The sequence below is a fragment of the Homo sapiens genome, chromosome 5 (assembly GCF_000001405.40).
Source record: "Homo sapiens chromosome 5, GRCh38.p14 Primary Assembly".
Classification (NCBI taxonomy): domain Eukaryota; kingdom Metazoa; phylum Chordata; class Mammalia; order Primates; family Hominidae; genus Homo; species Homo sapiens.
In genome coordinates, this window is record NC_000005.10 from 172,988,975 (window position 1) to 173,009,112 (window position 20,138).

At 43.3% G+C, this 20,138-nt stretch overlaps 1 protein-coding gene across 1 annotated transcript in view; it reads left to right on the forward strand.

Moving 5' to 3' along the window:
- Positions 1-20,138, forward strand: part of ATP6V0E1 (ATPase H+ transporting V0 subunit e1) — a 51,675-nt gene that overhangs the window by 5,204 nt on the left and 26,333 nt on the right. The window contains exon 2 of the mRNA NM_003945.4: positions 5,801-5,848. Within this exon, the coding sequence (NP_003936.1) occupies positions 5,801-5,848 (48 nt within the window). The remainder of the gene's footprint in view (positions 1-5,800; positions 5,849-20,138) is intronic.

Genomic DNA, 20,138 nt, shown 5'->3' on the forward strand with positions numbered 1-20,138 from the left:
AGTGCCCCTAGCTTGTGGTGAATTTTTAATACAGGTGAGCATTTCTGATTTAAATGATCAAAAATATCTTCAAAAAAATAAAAATGGGCCTGACATGGTGGCTCACACCGGCACTTTGGGAGGCTGAGGTGGGAGGATCACTTGAAGCCAGAAAATAGAGACCAAGCCTGGGCAATAAAGCAAGACCTGGTCTCTACAAAAACAATTTTTTAAAAATTACCTAGGCATGGTGGTGTAGACCTGTGGTCCTAGCTTCTCAGGAGGCTGGGTGGGTGGATTGTTTGAGCCCAGGATGTTGAGGCTGCAGTGAGCTATGATCATGCCACTGCATTCTAGCCTAGGCAACAGAGTGAGACCCCATCCCTTAAAAAAAAAATTCTCTTTTGCCCTTTCTTTTCCCTGCCTCATTAGGTCCTATAACCTCCTAATTACCCAACTTTCAGCATTCTGATGTGCAGGGGTCTCTTGGGGAAGATAAATTAACATCAAATACATCTGTGTTTCTCTCCCTTCTTTCCTCCTCACAGGGTTCCTTTATTTATCTCCTTACTGAAGATTTTTTTTTTTTTTGAGACCTAGTCTTGCTCTGTCACCCAGGCTGGAGTGCAATGGCATGATCTTGGCTCACTACAGCCTCTGCCTCCCGGGTTCAAGCAATTCTCCTGCCTCAGCCTTCCGAGTAGCTGGGATTACAGGCATGGGCCACCATGCCCAGCTCATTTTTGTATTTTTTAGTAGAGATGGGGTTTTGCCATGTTGGCCAGGCTAGTCTCAAACTCCTGACCTCAGGCGATGCACCCACCTTGGCCTCCCAAAGTGCTGGGATGACAGGAGTTGGGCACCATGCCCAGCCGAAGATTTTTTAAAATTTATTTCTTAAAACAGGGTCTTACTCTGTTGCCCAGGCTGGAGTGCAGTGGCACGGTCAGTCATAGCCCGCTGCAGCCTCAACCTGGGCTCACACAATCCTTCTGCTTCAGCCTCCAGCATAGCTGGGACAACAGGCATGCACCACCATGCCCAACCAATTAAAAAAAAAATGTTGTAGATACTGGGTCTCGTTTTATTGCCTATGCTGGTCTTGAACTCCTGACTTCAAGCAGTCCTCCCACCTCAGCCAACCAAAGTGCTAGGATTACAGTTGTGAGCACTGTGCTCAGCCAGGAAAAACTTATGAATCTTTTCTTTTATTAAAAAAAAAAATAGCCTACGATCACTTGGAAAAAACTCTTCAGAATTTATGGATGACCTAAATAAAGCCCCTGGCTCTTTATTTTTGCAACTGAAAAGGGCCAGCTAAAATCAGGTCTGTGCCTGGAATCAGCTTTCCTGATTCCTGACCATTCTAGTTTCTCATGATTTCCCTCTTTTCTCTAAAGGAATCCATAGATTCTCTAAAGCTTCCATTTTCTCACAGTGGCTTCCTAACCAGTAGATGTGGGGGAGGAGAAAAGGAAAGAGCGCAGAGATGAGTTTGCCAGTTCAGTCAACTCCATTTTTCTTTTTTTGTGGTTTGTTTTAATTTTATTTTTATTTTTTGATTATTTTATTTATAAATAATAGAGATGGGCTAGCCGGGCATGGTGGCTCATGCCTGTAATCCCGGCACTTTGGAAGGCTGAGGTGGGTGGATCACTTGGTCGGGAGTTCAAGACCAGCCTGGCCAACATGGTGAAACCTCATCTCTACTAAAAATACAAAAATTAGCCAGGTGTGGTGGTGTGCGCCTGTAATCCCAGCTACTCTGGAGGCTGAGGCAGGAGAATTGCTTGAGCCCAGGAGGCAGAGGTTGCAGTGAGTTGAGATTGCGCCACTGCACTCCAGCCTGGACGACAGAGCGATACTCTGTCTCAAAAATTAAAAAAAAAAAAAAAATACAGATGGGATCTCGCTCTGTTGGCCAGGTTGGTCTTAAACACCTGGCCTCAGCCTCCCAAAGTGCTAAGATTACAGGCTTGAGCCACCATACCTGTTTTTTTGTTTTGTTTTGTTTTGTTTTAAAGAGTCTCCCTGCGTTGCCAAGGCCTCGAGTGCAGTAGCGTGCTCATATCTCACTACAGCCTTGATATCCTGGGCTCTAGTGATCCTCCCGCCTCAGCCTCCTGAGTAGCTGGGACTATAGGCATGCTACTGCATCCAGCTAACTCCCCTTTTTTCATGAACAATTTCAAACATGTAGAAAAGTAGGAAGAGTAGTACAATAAGTGCCATATATTACCTCCTAGACTCAGTCATTGTTTAACGTATTCATATTTGCTTTGAGTGTGTGTATATATAATTTTGCTGGACCATTTGAAAGTAAATTGCAGTTATTGTGGCATTTCACCACTCAGCATGCAGCTCCTAAGACCAAGCATATTAGGAGCTGATACGTTAATGAGGGAGCTTTTATGTGAAACTATTAATATTAAGCAGGTAATACAAAGGAGCCTCAGCTCTTTCAGTTCTATGAGATGGTCTTTTGGAGAAGAGAGAAGACAGGGAAGAGATTCCACAGTGGAGCACGGACTGGGGGAAGATGAGTAAAGGCTTGGAATTGAGAATCCTAGATATAATGTGTTTTGGGGGACAGTGAAGGCACCTGCCTTCAGGAATGAAGGACTGATGTTTGCACGTAGGGGGAGGTGAGAAGGATGGGTGGAGGGAGTCAGTTACAAATGAAGCGGGGGACTTGATTCTGTAGGTCTTCAAACATTTTTATTGTGCAACTGTCAGAATTTCTTTAGCACAATCCCCCATACATATTTATTTATATTTTATAAGTGTAATGTATAAATTATGTATTTCAAGGAACTGACCAACTCTTACTACCTGCACTGCTGCCAGCCTGATCCACTTGGATTATGTAATTCCTCTCAACTGCTTTCTCTGCTTTCTTTTTGCCCCGCTTCCCCCAGTCTCTTTCATCCCAGCAGAGAGATCCCTTAGAATTGGAATCAGATTTTGTCAGTCCTCTCCTCAAATCCCTCCAAATAACTGCCCTTTTCTTTCCTTCTTCCTTTATTTTTCTTTCTTTCCTTCTTTCTTCTTTCTGTCTGTCTTTCTGTCTTTCTTTCTCTCTCTCTCTTTTCTTTCTTTCTTTTTTATTTTTTTTGAGACGGAGTCTCGCTCTGTCGCCCAGGCTGGAGTGCAGTGGCGCGATCTCGGCTCACTGCAAGCTCCGCCTCCCGGGTTCACGCCATTCTCCTGCCTCAGCCTCCCGAGTAGCTGGGACTACAGGCGCCCGCCACCACGCCCGGCTAATTTTTTTGTATTTTCAGTAGAGACGGGGTTTCACCGTGTTAGCCAGGATGGTCTCGATCTCTTGACCTCGTGATCTGCCCGCCTCGGCCTCCCAAAGTGCCGGGATTGCAGGCGTGAGCCACTGCGCCCGGCCATAACTTCCCTTTTCACTCAGAGTCAAAGCCTTTTAAGAGTGAAAGTCCTTTCAGAGGCCACATGGTACCTCTTTGACCTCACCTTTCCCCAGGCTCCTTGCTCTGTGTCAGCCACACAGACCCCTTCCTCTTTGAACTCCAGGTACCCTCTCACCCCCTGCCTTTGACATTACTTCTGCCTGGAACACTCCGTCACCTTGTTCAGGTCTGCACTGAGACGCCACCTCCTCAGCAAGGCTTTTCCTGACCATCCTCTAAAATTGCAACCACAATCTCCAACCCCTGGTAGACCCCGTCTCCCTTTCCTGTCTTATTTTCCTCCATCAGCACTTACTGACCATCTGGCATATATAGGTAGATAATTGTTGTTTGTTGTGTGTTCATCTTGTTTGTTGTCTATCTATGCCAGTAGCACGTGAGCTTCATGAGGCAGTGGTTTTTTTTGTTTATTTATTTATTTTTTTGAGATGGAGTCTTGCTCTGTCGCCCATGCTGGAGTGCAATAGCGCAATCTCGGCTCACTGCAACGTCTGCCTCCCAAGTTCAAGTGATTCTTCTGCCTCAGCCTCCTGAGCAGCTGGGATTACAGGCGAGCACCACCACGCCCAGCTAATTTTTTTGTATTTTTAGTAGAGATGGGGTTTCATCATATTGGTCAGGCTGGTCTCGAACTCCTGACCTCTTGATCCGCCTGCCTCGGCCTCCTAAAGTGCTGGGATCACAGGCGTGAGCCACCACGCCCGGCCACAAGGCAGTGGTTTTTATCTGTTTTGTTTCCTGTTCTCTCCTCAGACCCTAATACATATACTGGACATTCAGTGAGTGAAAATCTGTTGAACGAGTAAATGAATGTGCCAATATATTAACCAAAGAAAATACACACACAGTGGCTCATGCCTGTAATCCCAGCACTTTGGGAAGCATAGGTAGGTGGATTACTTGAGGCCAGGAGTTTGAGAACAGCCTGGACAACATGGCAAAACCCCATCTCTACTAAAAATACAAAAATTAGCCGGGCATGGTGGTGCATGCCCATAATCTCAGCTACTTGGGCTGAGGCAGGAGAATCGCTTGAACCTGAGAGGCGGAGTTTGCAATGAGCCAAGATTGTGCCACTGCACTCCAGCCTGGATGACAGAGTGAGACTCTGTCTCAAAAAACAAAAAAGACACACAGAACTTCTAAAGGATGAGTTAAAAATAAAGAAAAATAAGAGTTCTGGGCCAGGTGTGGTGGCTCACACCAGTAATCCCAACACTTTGGGAGGCTGAGGCAGGAGTATCACTTGAGGCCAGGAGTTCAAGTACAACCTGGTCAACATATTGAGACCCCCCCCCCCGACCCCACCTCTCCAAAAAAAATTAAAAATATTAGCCAGGCCTGGTTGTGTACACCAGTAGTCCTAGCTGCTCAGGAAGCTGAGGCAGAAGGATCAGTTGAGCCGAGGAGTTGGAGGTTACAGGGAGCTATGATCATGCCACTGCACTCTAGCCTGGGCGACAGAGACCCTGTCTCTTAAAAAAACAGGAGTTATAATATTTGGTTCCCAAGTTCTAGGAAATGCTCTTGCTCTTCTTAGGGCGTGGACATGCCTCTTGGAAACCAAATGATGGATGATGGAGGGGGGACATCAAAAGGTCTTAAGTAGAGAATCCTGGTGATTGTTTATAGAATGAAGGAGAAGGAGAAAAGTTTGAATCTGCCAGCAGTTAAGCCAGGAGAACTGGGTGAATTTTGTTGCTGACAGTGGGAATGGGAAGGAGGAAATACACATGGGGAGAGATGCTTTAAACTATAAATCCACAGTATTTGGTGACTGTGGAGGTGCAGAGAAGGCATGGACAAAAGATGATGGATGTGAGGGTGGGTCGGTTGGGTGAAAATGGCAGAGCTTCTTCTGAGGAGTAGGAGATTCAGAAGGGGAGCTTTTAGAAAAGAGATGGGAAGAGAACAGCATGAACTGAGGTTTAGAAATGTTGAAATTCTGCTGATGAGAGATCAAAGTGTAACTTTTTCAGACATGAATGGAGATTGGGAGAGCTCATCGCTGGAGAGTCATATTTTTAGAAGTACAGTGTTAATTTCATTACAGAGAATACTACCAAATAGGGTAATTACTTAGTTGTCAAAACTAATTGTCACTGCGGCCTTTCCTGTTCAGTTTCAGATAAATTTGGATTGGACAGCTACACTGTGGCATCAGCACATATCTCTTTAAATACAAATGTTTAATTACATAAACTTTTCCCAGGTGTACCCTGGGCACACCGCAGTTTGCTGGATATTTGAGCAAATACAGATCCAATTTCTTGGTGTGCAATCCATGCCAGTTTGATAATCTGGAAAGGGGACTTAAACCATTCTGTGATGTTTGCATAGTTTGCTAGTTATTTAATGACATTTGCATTTTTTTTTTTTTTTAGAGTTATCATTACCATGTTGGTGACCTGTTCAGTTTGCTGCTATCTCTTGTAAGTAATTTTTTCTTAAGTAATTATTCTTGGTATTTGTAGTGTGTGCGATTTACACATTTGTTTTATTGGAGCTCATCCCTCATGTAATATCTAGAAATAGTGTCCTAAAATTGAAAATATCACACTTTTCATATGCTCAGTATATTTATGTAGAGTTGTACAGATACTCTATCCTTCTGGGAATACAACTTCTGTTTAATTGGCACAAATGTTAAAGCTTATAAGTAGCTGGAAATTATGATTATACTACTTTATATTTTACTATGGTGAAGTATTTACTTATTTATTTATCTTTTGAGACAAGGTCCCGCTCTGTCGCCCAGGCTGCAGTGCAGTGGTGTGATCTCAGCTCACTGCAACCTCGGCCTCCTGGGTTCAAGTGAGTCTCATGCCTCAGCTACCTAAATGGCTGGGGTTACAGGCACACGCCGCCATGCATGGCTAATTTTTGTATTTTTAGTGGAGACGGGTTTGCCATGTTGGCCAGGCTGGTCTCAAACTCCTGACCTCAAGTGATCCGCCTGCCTTAGCCTCCCAAAGTGCTGGGATTACAGGCATGAGCCACTGTGCCCGGTATACTATTGTGAAGTATTTAGATCTACTTATTTTACTGAAATATCTCACTAATGGAGCTAATAAAGCTATTCTTTACTGTGACTTTTGTTTATCTGATGGACAGAAATTGAGCTAGAATTATAACCAAGTAGACTAAGGATAATTTTTTAACAATTCATTGTAAGCTGTATCAAAATATATGTATTGATCACATACCATAAAAATAATCCTAAGGATTTCTTTCAATTTAGGTTTTTGAGACAGGGTCTTGCTCTGTCACCCAGGCTGGAATGGCTCAATCATAGCTCACTGCAGCCTCAAACTCTTAGGCTCAGGCGATCCTCCTGCCTCTGCCTCCCAAGTAGTTGGGACTATAGTCATGCGCCACCATGCTCAGCTAACTTTTTTATTTTTGTAGAGATGGAGTCTTACTGTGTTACCCAGGCTGGTCTTGAACTCCTGGCCTCAGTGATCCTTCCATCTTAAGCCTCCCAAAGTGCTAGGATTACAGGCATGAGTCACTACACCCAGCCAGGATTTCTTTCTAGAGTTTAGAACCAGTGATTCTCTTTTTTTGAAGAGAACTTTCTAGCTTCCTGAGACTTCAGAGACATGGAAAGTGTTGGTGTTCACAGAAGTGCTGTTTAGTGCCCATGTAAGGTAGGAAGCAACAGTTCTGACCCATCCTATAGATGAAAGACCATGACTTTTTTTTCCAGAAACATTTTAATAAAAATTGGCCATTTCCAAGAAACACCCACTGCATGCCCGTTAATAAAAGAGGACCATAACAAAATAGAAAATTTACCATATAGCTGTGATTTAAAATAGCTGTGATTTAAAGAGAAAATGTGGACACAAGCACATCAGCAAAGTCCAGTATTAAAGTCACATTCCGGCCAGGATCGGTGGCTCATGCCTGTAATCCCAGCACTTTGGGAGGCCGAGGCGGGTGGATCACCAGGTCAGGATATTGAGACCAGCCTGGCCAACATGGTGAAACCCATTCTCTATTAAAAATACAAAAAAAAATTAGCTGGGCTTGGTGGCGCACACCTGTAGTCCCAGCTGCTCGGGAGGCTGAGGCAGGAGAATCACTTGAACCCTGGAGGCAGAGGTTGCAGTGAGCCGAGATTGCACCACTGCACTCCAGCCTGGGCGACAGAGCGAGACTCCGCCTCAAAAAAAAAAAAAATACATACATACATACATACATACATAAAGTCACATTCCTTCTTATGGGCTATGATTAGGAATCTGATCAGATATCAGAGTAAAAATACAAATGCTGAACTATTTAGGTCAAAGAACCTCTATAGAAGCATCTGTCTTCAAAGGCATTCCAATTTGAGATCAATTTTAGAATAAGGCATAACACATATGTTAACAGAAGACATACAAGGTGATGAAAGAGGGATTCTACAATTCCCCACATACTCTGAACCTAATAAAACAAATCCAGATTTTTAAAAAATTACTTTTCTTTAAACAATTGCCAAGACTGAAATCAAAGAGAAATAGAAGGCACAACAATTTTGCTCTGGTTGTTATCTGGGTTTGGGGAATTTTTTCTTTTTTTTTTTTTCAAATACAAATTAAACATGAAAAAACTCTATTTCAAATAAACTAACAGTTCAAGAAAAGCCTATCAGTTGCATTCCAGACATTTAAAACCTATATCGCAGTTTAAATTTCAGTGGTAAAAACAGTAGGTTTTAGAATTGTTTTGTGATCCTATATCAAAAGAAAAATTCTATTCCTTTAATTCAGTTTTTAAACATACCAGTGAGAATCAAAATTGTCAAATTTTCCAATGACAAATTCTCCACACCAGAAGGTAGTCATGACTCTCAAAGAAGAAACAATTTGGGTTTTTCCTGCCTTCAAAATGTTATCAAGTCCTGTATTTCTCACAGGTTTTTGAAACACGTAGAAAACAAGAAATATTCCGATGAATGAAATATACCAAATGTCAGTAATATGCAAGACACATTCCTTTGGGGAAATGGCTGTTAAAAAAAAAATCCAGTCTGTATATGCAAAGTAAGCAAGGAAATTCAGTCTTTTTTTTTCTTCTTCTTCTTTAAAAATCTGTTACTCCTAAAATATCATTCCACAAAATTGGAAGTGAAAGACTAAAGGTCAGGGGCAAGGCGTGGTGGCTCACGCCTGTAATCCCAGCACTTTGGGAGGCCGAGGCGGGCGGATCACGAGGTCAGGAGATCGAGACCATCCTGGCTAACACAGTGAAACCCCGTCTCTACTAAAAATACAAAAAAAAATTTAGCCGAGCGTGGTGGTGGGTGCCTGTAGTCCCAGCTACTTGGGAGGTTGAGGCAGGAGAATGGCGTGAACCCCGGAGGCGGAGCTTGCAGTGAGCCGAGATTGCACCACTGCACTCCAGTCTGGGCGACAGAGCGAGACTCCGTCTCAAAAAAAAAAAAAAAAGTTCTAGGCCGGGCATGGTGGCTCACGCCTGTAATCCCACCACTTTGGGAAGCTGAGGCGGGCAGATCACTTGAGCCCGGGAGTTCAAGACCAGCCTGAGCAACATGTTGAAACCCTTTCTCTACAAAAAATTATCCGATTGTGGTGGCACATGCCTGTCGTCCCAGCTACCGGGAAGGTGGAGGTGTGAGGATCACCTGAGCCCGGGGAAGTCAAGGCTACAGTGAGCTGTCATTGCGGCAGTGCATTCCAGCCTGGGGGTCCAAGTGATACCCTGTCTCAAAAAAAAAAAAGTTGTGATAAATGATGTTGTTTGACTGTTTAAACACTAAGGCCCAGCTGATGAAACTTAAAATTTAGTCTTTTTTTTTTTTTTTTTTTTTGGTTAGAGTGTTAAAAGAAGCTTGTTCAGGTGATAACTTAGCCTCCAGAGTGGAACACAGGTTGCATGTGGAGGGAATTCTTATCACTGTGTTTGGCTGTAAAGAGTATATGAAGCCTGGTGTGGTGGCTCACGCCTGTAATCCCAGCACTCTGGGAGGCCAAGGCGGGAAGATCACCTGAGGTTACAAGTTCAAGGCCAACCTAGCCAACATGGTGAAACCCCATCAATACTAAAAAAAATTTTTAAAATTAGCTGCGCGTGATGGTACGCACCTGTAGTCCCAGCTACTTGGGAGGCTGAGGCAGGAGAATTGCTTGAACCCGGGAGGTGGATGTTGCAGTGAGCCAAGATCGCTCCACTGCATCCAGCCTAGGCATCAGAGTGAGACTCCATCTTAAAAAAAAAAAAAAAAAAAAGAGTAAATGAGGGCAAATACATGTATCATCAAGAACTGATTTTAGTACGATGGTTGACCATCAGCCTATCCTACTGAATCGCCTATGGAAATCAGTAAGGGAGCGCCATATCAATCCAGGTGTCAAGGATTGGTCTGTCATTGAAAAGGCCTTTGTTTTTATTGCTTTGAAGATCTCTGCAATGTGAGCAGTAAGGTCAGTGGTGGTACCTTATAAAAGGGAAAATGGGGGCCGGGCGTGTTGGCTTATGCCTGTATTCCCAGCACTTTGGGAGGCTGAGGCAGGCGGATCACAAGGTCAGGAGTTCGAAACTCCTGGCCAACACGGTGAAACCCCATCTCTACTAATAATACAAAATTAGCCCCATGTGGTGGCGGGCACCTATAATCCCAGCTACTAAGGAGGCTGAGGCAGGAGAATCACTTGAAACTGGGAGGCAGAGGTTGCAGTGAGCCGAGATTGTGCCATTGCACTCCAGCCTGGACAACAAGTCTCCATCTCAGGAGGGAAAAAAAAGGGGGTCGGGGGAATGAGTTCACAGAGGAATGACTTGAGATTTAAACCCAAAAAGCACCAAAATATTTTGTGACTTCCTGGTTCTCCATAGTCTTTGAAATGTGTTTAATTTTCATGATATTTAAAACAAAAGAAAACAAAAACGTTTCCAGTCAGTCTCATGTCTTGTATTTCCACTTTTTTTTTTTTCTTTCTGGACACACAGTCTTGCTCTGTCACCCAGGCTGGAGTGCATTGGCACTACCATAGTTCACTGCAGCCTCAAACTCCTGGGCTGAAGCAATCTTCCTGCCTCAGCCTCCTGAGTAGCTGGGACTACAGACATACACCACCACACCTGGCTAATTTTTTAAATTTTTAGTAGATGAGGTCCTGCTATGTTTGTTGCCCAGGCTAGTCTTGAACTCCTGAGCTCAAGCAGTCTTCTCACCTCAGCCTTCCAAAGTGCTAGGATTACAGGCGTGAGCCACCACGCCCAGTCATATTTCCACTTTCAAGTATAAAATGAATAATTGGATTTGAGCCCTTGCCTCTTGCTGTCTAGACATTAGTCCATTTTTTCCTTTGTTCCCAAATTCTGGTGACTTCTCTACTGACAGTGGATCAGCACTGTTAGTGGTGTATTAATAAAGGTGGTACACAGTGTTCCAACATTAAATGCTTCTGGAGGCCATTTTATGGGGAAATCAGCTGGATAGTATTGACTTTATGAAATCATTTTTCTTTTGTTTCTTTGAAATCTGATCATACATCCTATTTAGCATGATATCTGAGTGAAAAATGTGGACGGAATTCAAACCCCAAATATTTTACACACCTTATTCCACAAAAGAGTGAGATTCTATTAAAAAAATTGAAATTCAAAGGAAATTTCACTGTTTGGCACTGGTACATTTTCTTGAAAATGCCCCTTTTCAAGTAAGGCACACCCAAAGAGACTTTGGCTTTCAAAGTCATGTTTTGAAATGCATTCATGGACTTTTAAATTGCCTTCTGTTTGTTGCAGTTTTTTCTGGTGCCAGTTTGTTCTAGTTTAAAGTTTGATTCCGTGAGGCTCAACTTGTTTGAGCTCTGTATAAATTAGGTTCTCTGCCAGTAGAATCCAGTTTCTGTTAATAGTTCAGCAGAGGAAAATCTGAATGTTATATCTGGTTCCCTCTTTAAGGCACAAGATCACTTTTGTCTCTTAAACATACAATCTTGTTAAGTTACTATACTATATTTCTGGTCTTAGGTTAATTTTTAATGTTGAATTATATTGTTGTTTACTCAGAGTCACCAAGCTCACATGAAATTAGAAATGTAATGTATTGTGAAGACACAGTTGTTTCTTGGAAAACATGCTGTGTCTTAGCACCTGACTAACTGTAAATCTTACTGGCATCATGATATAGGAAAATAAATACTATCTAAGAATCACGAGACCTAGGTTCTTTTAGGCAAAAGGATACTTGGCACGATTATGTTGTAGGGTGGTTTTGTGAGTTTTAAGTAAGATGCTGTGTGTGAAAACTTAGAGTAAAGCACAATAAAAATCAAAGTAATATTATCAGTGATTTTTTTTTTTTTTTTTGAGATAGAGTCTCACTCTGTCGACCAGGCTGGAGTGCAGTGGCGAGATCTCAGCTCACTGCAACCTCCACCTCCCAGGTTCAAGTGATTCTCCTACCTCAGCCTCCTGAGTAGGTGGGACTACAGATGTGCGCCACCATGCCTGGCTATTTTTTGTATTGTTAGTAAAGACAGGGTGTCACCTTGTTGGCCAGGCTGGTCTCGAACTCCTGACCTCAAGTGATCCACCCACCTTGGCCTCCCAAAGTGCTGGGATTACAGGTGTGAGCCACCGCCCCTGGCCAATCAGTGATCTTTAAAATAAGTTATTTTAATTCAAAGGACTGTGTTATTTGTAAGCACAGTTTCCTTACAGGGCTGGTATAGTGAATATTTTACTTAGCCTTATTAGAATTCATTCATTCAACATATATTTATTTAGCATTAGTAGGCACTGGATCTGGACACTACTAAAAATACAGAATTAGCCGGGCGTAATGGCACAGTGTAGCAGTGAATAAACAAAGTAGACAACCCCCTGTCCTCTTTAATAAGGAGAAGCAGATAAAACAAATCAAGAGCCAGAGAGGCCCGATCACTCCCCTCATTGCCCTTCATTCACTTCCCAAACAGGTTCCCCCATCCACTCATTTCCACAAATACCTACTCAGTTATGACCTCAGAAGATTCCCCTTTACTCATTCTTTAGCCCCCGTTGCTGTCCATCACACAGGGACCTGCACAGCCCACAGAAACTCCACCTCACATGTCTCGGAATTTGCAAATCCAGAGCTGAGCCTCACCTCCCTCACTGGCCTTTCTGGGTCCTGGCTCTAGAGCTAGTTTGAGCACAGGACATAATCACTTCCCAGGGGCCTGGGTGCACCGCTTTGGTTTCCAACCAAGTAACCACACGTGGTGGCTCACGCCTGTAATCGCAGCACTTTGGCTGATTGGTTTCAGGGCTGCTATTTACTTTAACATGTATTTCCTTTTTAAACTTTCTGGTTTTGAGCTTTTTTTTTTTTTCTTTTCCCCCGAGACGGAGTTTCACTCTTGTTGTCCAGGCTAGAGTGCAATGGCTGGATCTCAGCTCACTGCAACCTCTGCCACCCAGTTTCAAGTGATTCTCTTGCCTCAGCCTCCCGAGTAACTGGGATTACAGGCATGTGCCACCACGCCTGGCTTATTTTGTGTTTTTAGTAGGGATGAGGTTTCTCCATGTTGGTCAGGCTAGTCTCGAACTCCTGCCCTCAGGTGATCCACCTGCCTTGGCCTCCCAAAGGTTTTCAGCTTTTTAAACATACTATTTTCTCTCTATAAAAGTAGAAAGGTTAGGATAATGAACCTTCATTTGCTTACCACCCACCTTCAAAAATGATCAACTCATGGCCAATCGTGTTTTATCCCCACACTTTTCCTCTCCACCCCAGATTATTCTGAAACAAATCCCAGACATATCAGTTCATCTGTAAACATTTCAATATGTGTCTCTAAATTTTAAAAGTACAACCACAATACCATTATGCACAAAAAACTTAATTCCTTTATATCATCAAATATCCTATCATATTTAAATTTCCGTAATTGTCTCATTATTTTACAGCTTGCTGGAATCAAGGTCCACATAAAGACCACACGTAGCAATTGGTGAATGTCTCTCAAATTTCTCTTTATAGGCTTCTTCTCCATATCTTTCTCTTTTTTCTTGGAAATTTTAATAGAAAAACTGGGTTGTTTGCCCTTTAATGTTGCAGTCTGGTCTTTGTTAATTGCATACTCATGGTGGTAACACGTTCTTCTGTATTTTCTATGAATTGGTAGCCATATCTAGAGGCTGATCAGATTTAGCTTCAATTTTTTGACCAGTCTCCTTCATAAGTGGTGTTGAGTACTTCCAAGAGGGGTACATAATGTCTGATTTTTCTTTGTATTATTGGCCATCATTTATGATATTCTGTTTCTGTAATTTCTTATTCACTAATTAGCTAGACTATATCCAAAATAGAAGCCAAGTCTGGTGGCTCATGCCTGTAATCTCAGCACTTTGGGAAGCTGAGGCAGGAGAATTGCTTGAGGCCAGGAGTATGAGACCAGCCTGGGCAACATGGTGAAACCCTGTGTCTGAGGAGGAATCAGCCATAGGGAAATTGGAGGGAGGGCTTTCTGCAAATGTAAAGGCACTGAGGGGTAAAGAGCTTGGGATAGCCGGGGACAGGGGTATCCCACCTGTAGTCCCAGCTACTTGGGAGGCTAAAGCAGAAGGATCGCTTGGGCTCAGGAGTTTTGAGACCAGCCTGGGCAACACAGCAAGGCCCTGTCCCTTTTTTCTTTCTTTTTTTTAAGTAGCTTGGAATGTTCTGGCAGGGTAATGTTGGGCTTAATAGTGAGGTGGGGAGTGGTAGGTTCAGAGTTTATGTAAGGCCCAGGCCAGGTGGGATTTTATGCTGTGCAGGTCCTTGTGTGATTGACAGCAGCAGGGGGCTGAAGGATAAGTGAGGGGGAATCTTCCGAGGTCATAACTGAATAGGTATTTGTGGCAACAAGTGGATGGGGGAAACTGGGAAGTGAATGAAGGGGCTGTGAGGGGAGTGATTGGGCCTCTCTGGCTCTTGATTTGTTTACTATCTGCTTCTCCTCATTAAAGAGGACATGGAGGTTGTCTGATTTGTTAATTCATTGCTACACATCTAGTGCCCAGATCCAGTGTCTGCTGACACTAAATAAGGAGTTTGGGTTTCATGTTAAGTGAATAGGAGATGCTTTAAGATTTTTAATGAAGGAGTGGTGTGAATGGGATGATCACTCTGGCTGCTCTGTGGAGAACAGACTGTTTGGCGGGGAGAATGGAAGCAGGAACACCCGTCAGGAAGTGACTGCATGCATGCCAGTGAGAGATCACCATGGTTTGGTCTGAGGTGAAGAGAGGCACACAGATTTGAGAGCAAATTTGGCAGGTAGAATTTATTGGTCGTACTGATGGATTAGATGTAGGAAGAATCAGAGATGGCTCCCAGTTCTAGGTTGGGCCATTTACTAAGATGATCCTGACTTGGGACAGGATGAATTTGAAGAGAGATTCAACTGGTACATGCTAATTAGGACTGAGATGGCCATAAGATGCCCAAGAGTTGTCAAACAGGAACTTAGCTAAAGCAGAGAGATTTGAGGCCATGAGAACACATAGAATTACCTAAGGCAGTGGTTCTTTGCTGGGGTTGCTGCTGGCATCCAGGGATAGAGGCCAGGGATGCTGCTGAACATCCTGTACTGCACAGGACAGCCTCACTTTCCCCTAGTGAAGAATTATGCAGCCCAAAATTTCAATAGTGCTGAGGTTGAGAAACCCAGCACTAAGGGAAGGGGTAGGAGAGAAAAGTAAAGAAAAGATCCGACCAAACCTGAGGAATGCCAACATTTTGATGTTGTGTAGATGAGGAAGAGTCAGAAAAGGGCAACCTTGAGCCTCCTTTGGTGAATAAGGGTGGTGCCTGGGAAAGCATGGAGGGATCAGGCTGGTGATCAGCAAGCTTGCACTTCATTTGCCTAAGGACATGCAGTTGCACTTCTTTAGAGTCAGCTTTTCACAAGGTTGGGTGAAAATTGTTAGGAGGCAGCACAAGGGGAGCAAAGATGTTACTAACCCCAGTCGCCAAAGCCTGAGGTATCTGGCCTGTAAACATAAGCAGTCTTCTCTGCTTCAGAGAGCCTGGTGAGAAGGGATGGGAAGCTGGGTTTCAGTTAAGCTAGAGGGAAAGTGCTGGAAGAGGAGGTACGTGAACAAGTAGCAGATAATTGAGCAAGAGTTACAGAGAACACAGTGGAAGGATTTGGAAGAAAGGGGAAGATTTGGAAGAAAAGAAAGGGATGCACCATTGTTACATCAAATAGTGAGATGAGTGCGGAGCAGTCTGGGGATGGGGTCATAATAGATGGTCCTGGGAGGTTTCAAATGCCGGTAAAAATTGAGATAAGGAAAGATATGAGACCTGTTGAACTTAGTTTTTATATTCCGTTATTAGGCGAGAACTGGGACCTGAAGGCTTTCCACAATAGCTTGGCAGGGGAGAGGGTTTTGGCAGTTAGGCATGACTGCTTCTGAAGGTTGTAGGCACTAAAATGGTACAGGTCATGCCTTGTTTTTGTTTTTCTGTTTTGTTTTGCTTTGTTTTCCCAATATAGACATCCAGTTGTTGCTGCACCAGCTTTTGAAAATCCTTTCTCCGTGAAATTGCTTTGGCATTTTCATCTAAAATTAGTGACTATATCTTATGAGTCTGGCTCTGGATTGCCTCTTCTGTTCATTGATCTCTTTGTCTGGCCTTATGATAATATACTGTCTTGAGTATTGCAGAGTTATGTTAAAATCAGAAAGTGTGAGTCCTCCATCTTTGTGCTTCAAGATTGTTTTGGTTATTCTAAAATAGCCACATATATTTTAAAATCAACTAGGCAGTTTCTACGAAAAAAAAAAAAACCTGTTGGGATTTTAATTGGGATTGTGTTGAATATATCAATTTGAAGAGAACTGACATCTTAATGATGTTGAGTTTTCTAATCTCACTGGTATCTCCATGTCCAGCCTCATGGGATCTCTTCATTTATTTAGGTTTTCTTTTGTTTCTTTCACAAATGTTTTGTAATTTTTGGTGCAGAGATCTCACATGTCTCTTGGATTTTTGGGGTTTTCGTTTTTTAATAGAGATGGCATTTTGCCATGTTGCCCAGGATGGTCTCGATCTCCTGGGCTCAAACGATCTGCCTGCCTTGGCCTCCCAAAGTGCTAGCATTACAGGCATGAGCCACTGCACCTAGTATGTCTCTTGTTATTTTAATATATCAAGTATTTTAATGTAATTTTTGATGCTCTTTTAATGAAGCAGTTAGGAATTTATCAATTTTATTAATCTTTTCAAATAATCAAAATTTTATCTTGGTTACTTTCCTGTATCTTTTTGTCCTTCTCATTGACATCTGCACGTTATTATTTCTTCCTTCTTACTTTGGATTTAATTTCGTCTTTTCTAGTGTAAGCATTTAATACAATAAAATTCCCCCTAAGCACTGCTTCAGTGATATCCCACAAATTTTGATAAAGTGTATTTTCATTTTACTCCATTTGAAATATTTTCTAATTTCTTTTGTAATTTCTTAGACCAATTGGTTATTCAGAATTGTGGTGTTTAATTTCTAAATATCTGGTGCTGTTCCAGATGTCTTCTTACTGTTAATTGATTTCTCATTTAATTCCATGTGGTCAGAAGATATACTCTCTAAGATTTCAGTCTTTTGAGATTGGGACTTATTTTATGCGTGTGGACTATCTTGACAACCATTTGTGTGCAGTTGAAAAGAATCTATATTCTGAAGTTGTTGGTTGTAGTATTCTATATCAGGTCAAGATGGTTCAAATTTTCTATGTCCTTATTGTGGTTTTTTTTTGTTTGTTTTTTATCTACTACTTTTAATTATGAAAAGAGGGATGCTAAAAATCACCAGCTATGATTGTGGATTTTCCTGTTTCTCCCTTTCTTTCCTCTTGAATTCTGATTGATTTATCCTTAATTCAAGATATAACCCTTTAGGATCCTAGTTTTTGGAGGGGGTGAAGGTTTTATTAAACTCTACTCTGGGCCGGGCACGATGGCTCACGCCTGTAATCCCAGCACTTTGGGAGGCTGAGGCAGGTGGATCATGAGGTCAGGAGATCGAGACCATCCTGGCTAACACGGTGAAACTCCGTCTCTACTAAAAATACAAAAAATTAGCCAGGCGTGGTGGTGGGCGCCTGTAGTCCCAGCGACTCGGGAGGCTGAGGCAGGAGAATGGCGTGAACCCGGGAGGCGGAGGTCGCAGGCAGTGAGCCGAGATGGCGACACTGCACTCCAGCCTGGGTGACAGAGTGAGACTCCATCTCAAACAAACAAACAAACAAACAAACACTCTACTCTGGATGGGCCTTGGGCCTTGTCCACTGTTTGCTGTGCCCTGTGAGATCTGTAAACAGAAGCTCAAGTCCGTGTTGTTTGTTACATACATTTAAGCTATAGAAAGCAACCTATGGTCACCTTCCTCTCTGAGTACCTGCCTTCATTTGGGTTTTGGGGGTTTTTTTTGGCCTGAGAATTGTTTGAATTTCTTATGGATACATTTGAGATGTTTGTTTGTAGGGGAAGGGAAGGGAAATCTAGGCAGCTGGCCCAGCATATTACTTGCTATATGGAAAAGTTTATTTTTCTTAGTCTGACTTTATAATTGTTTCCTTTATAATTTGGCAGATAAGAGGAATTTTAGACTTTGAGCTGGAAGGTCTGGTGTAGAAAATAAGTATGGAGAGAAAAAAGGAAAGGTATTTCAAGTTTAGAATTGGCAAAAATAGGGTATATTCCTTTGGTAGTGAAATAGCCATAGGTTGGCATTAAGTTAATGGAAAACATGTTTATGACTTTTTTTATTTTTATTGAGATGAGGTCTCGCCATGTTGCCCAGGCTGGTCTTGAACTCCTGAGCTCAAGCATTCTGCCCATCTCGGCCTCCCAAAATGCTGGGATTACAAGCATGAGCCACCGCAGCTGGTCATGTTTATGACTTCTAATCTGAAGCTTGGCCTCCTCTTCCAAGCTCTCGTGGCTGTCAGAATTCAGTTCTATGTGCTTATAGAACTGAGATGGCAGTTTCCTTGCTGGCTATTAGTTGGGACCACTGTCAGCTCCTAGAGGCCACCTTCATTCCTGGCCATATGGCCCCTCCATTTTCACAGCCGGGAAAAGAGAATCTCCTTTGTGTCAAATCATCTCATCCTATAGCAGTCTGGAGTCCAATAAGGAGATAGAAACCACAGTCGGTTAAGCAGGGGAAGATAAAGAATTATTTTTTTCTTTTGCGGATTAGGTAGCCACGTAAACCAAAATAGGTTGAGAGAGATTTCAGAATTATTATTATGGCAAAAGAGTTACTAAAAGATACAAAGAAACTATATTTGGTTCCCTAGGACTGAGGGAGAGTAACCAAAGAACAGACTTGGAAGGGATTCAGACCTCACTAGACAAAGTATGGTTGAGCCCACCAGATAGCAAAGGAGTTTGTTGGTTTGGCCAGACCAGGGTTTGCCTGGAGTTTCTGGGCAAGCAATTGGCCTCTTCTGGAGTACAGGCAGGGGGCGAGGTCATCGGGGGCATGGATGTAGTGGGAGTCCCTGTCCCCATACGAGCAGGAGGCCTTCAAGGCATGTATGCCGGGCAGGGGCTTTGCTTAACATGTGGAGAGGGTTCTGAAGTTATTGCCAGGCCAAGGCTACAAGATCAAAGAGGTACCACGTTCTGGCCTCGAGCCATAGTAGGCTTCACCAGAGGTTCTCACACCCACTCCGCGACCTCCGGCCTACGCCTGAAATGTCCCTCCAGCTTCCTCTACTGAGAAAGCTTAACAGCGTGCTCACTTTACAGGAGAAATAAAGTAATTCACTTGTTTATCACAGAGCACACATTGAATTGCACTTCATTTGCCTAATGTTCAGAGCTGAGAGGCAATAAATTCGTGACTGAAACACACACTCCAAATGTCTTTGTAAGGGAGAGTCCTGTTCCTTTTTTTTTCTTTTCTTTTCTTTTTTTTTTTTTTTTGAGACAGAGTCTTGCTCTGTCACCAGGCTGGAGTGCAGTGGCTCAATCTTGGCTCACTGCAACGCTCCGCCTCCTGGGTTCAAGCAAGTCTTCTGCCTCAGCCTCTCTAGTAGCTGGGACTACAGGTGCGTGCCACACTGCCCAGCTAATTTTTGTTGTTTTAATAGAGATGGGGTTTCACTATGTTTGCCAGCATGGTCTTGATCTCTTGACCTCATGATCTGCCCACCTTGGCTTCCCAAAGTGCTGGGATTACAGGCGTGAGCCACCGTGCCCAGCCGAGTCCTTTTCCTTTTAAGAACTCAACTGGGCTGGGCGCGGTGGCTCACACCTGTAATCCCAGCACTTTGGGAGGCCAAGGTGGGCGGATCACGAGGTCAGGAGATCGAGACCATCCTGGCTAATGCGGTGAAACCCCATCTCTACTAAAAATACAAAAAAAATTAGCTGGGCGTGGTGGCGGGCGCCTGTAGTCCCAGCTACTTGGGAGGCTGAGGCAGGAGAATGGCATGAACCCGGGAGGCAGAGCTTGCAGTGAGCAGAGATTGGGCCACTGCACTCCAGCCTGGGTGACAGAGCAAGACTCTGTCTCAAAAAAAAAAAAAAAAAAAAAAAACTCAACTGAGGGCTGGGTGGGTGACTCATGCGTGTAATCCTAGCACTTTGGGAGGCGAAGGCTGGCAGATCACTTGAGGCCAGGAGTTCGAGACCAGCCTGGGCAACATGGTGAAACCTCGTCTCTAATAAAAATAGAAAAATCAGCCAGGCATGGTGGCATGTACCTGTAATCCCAG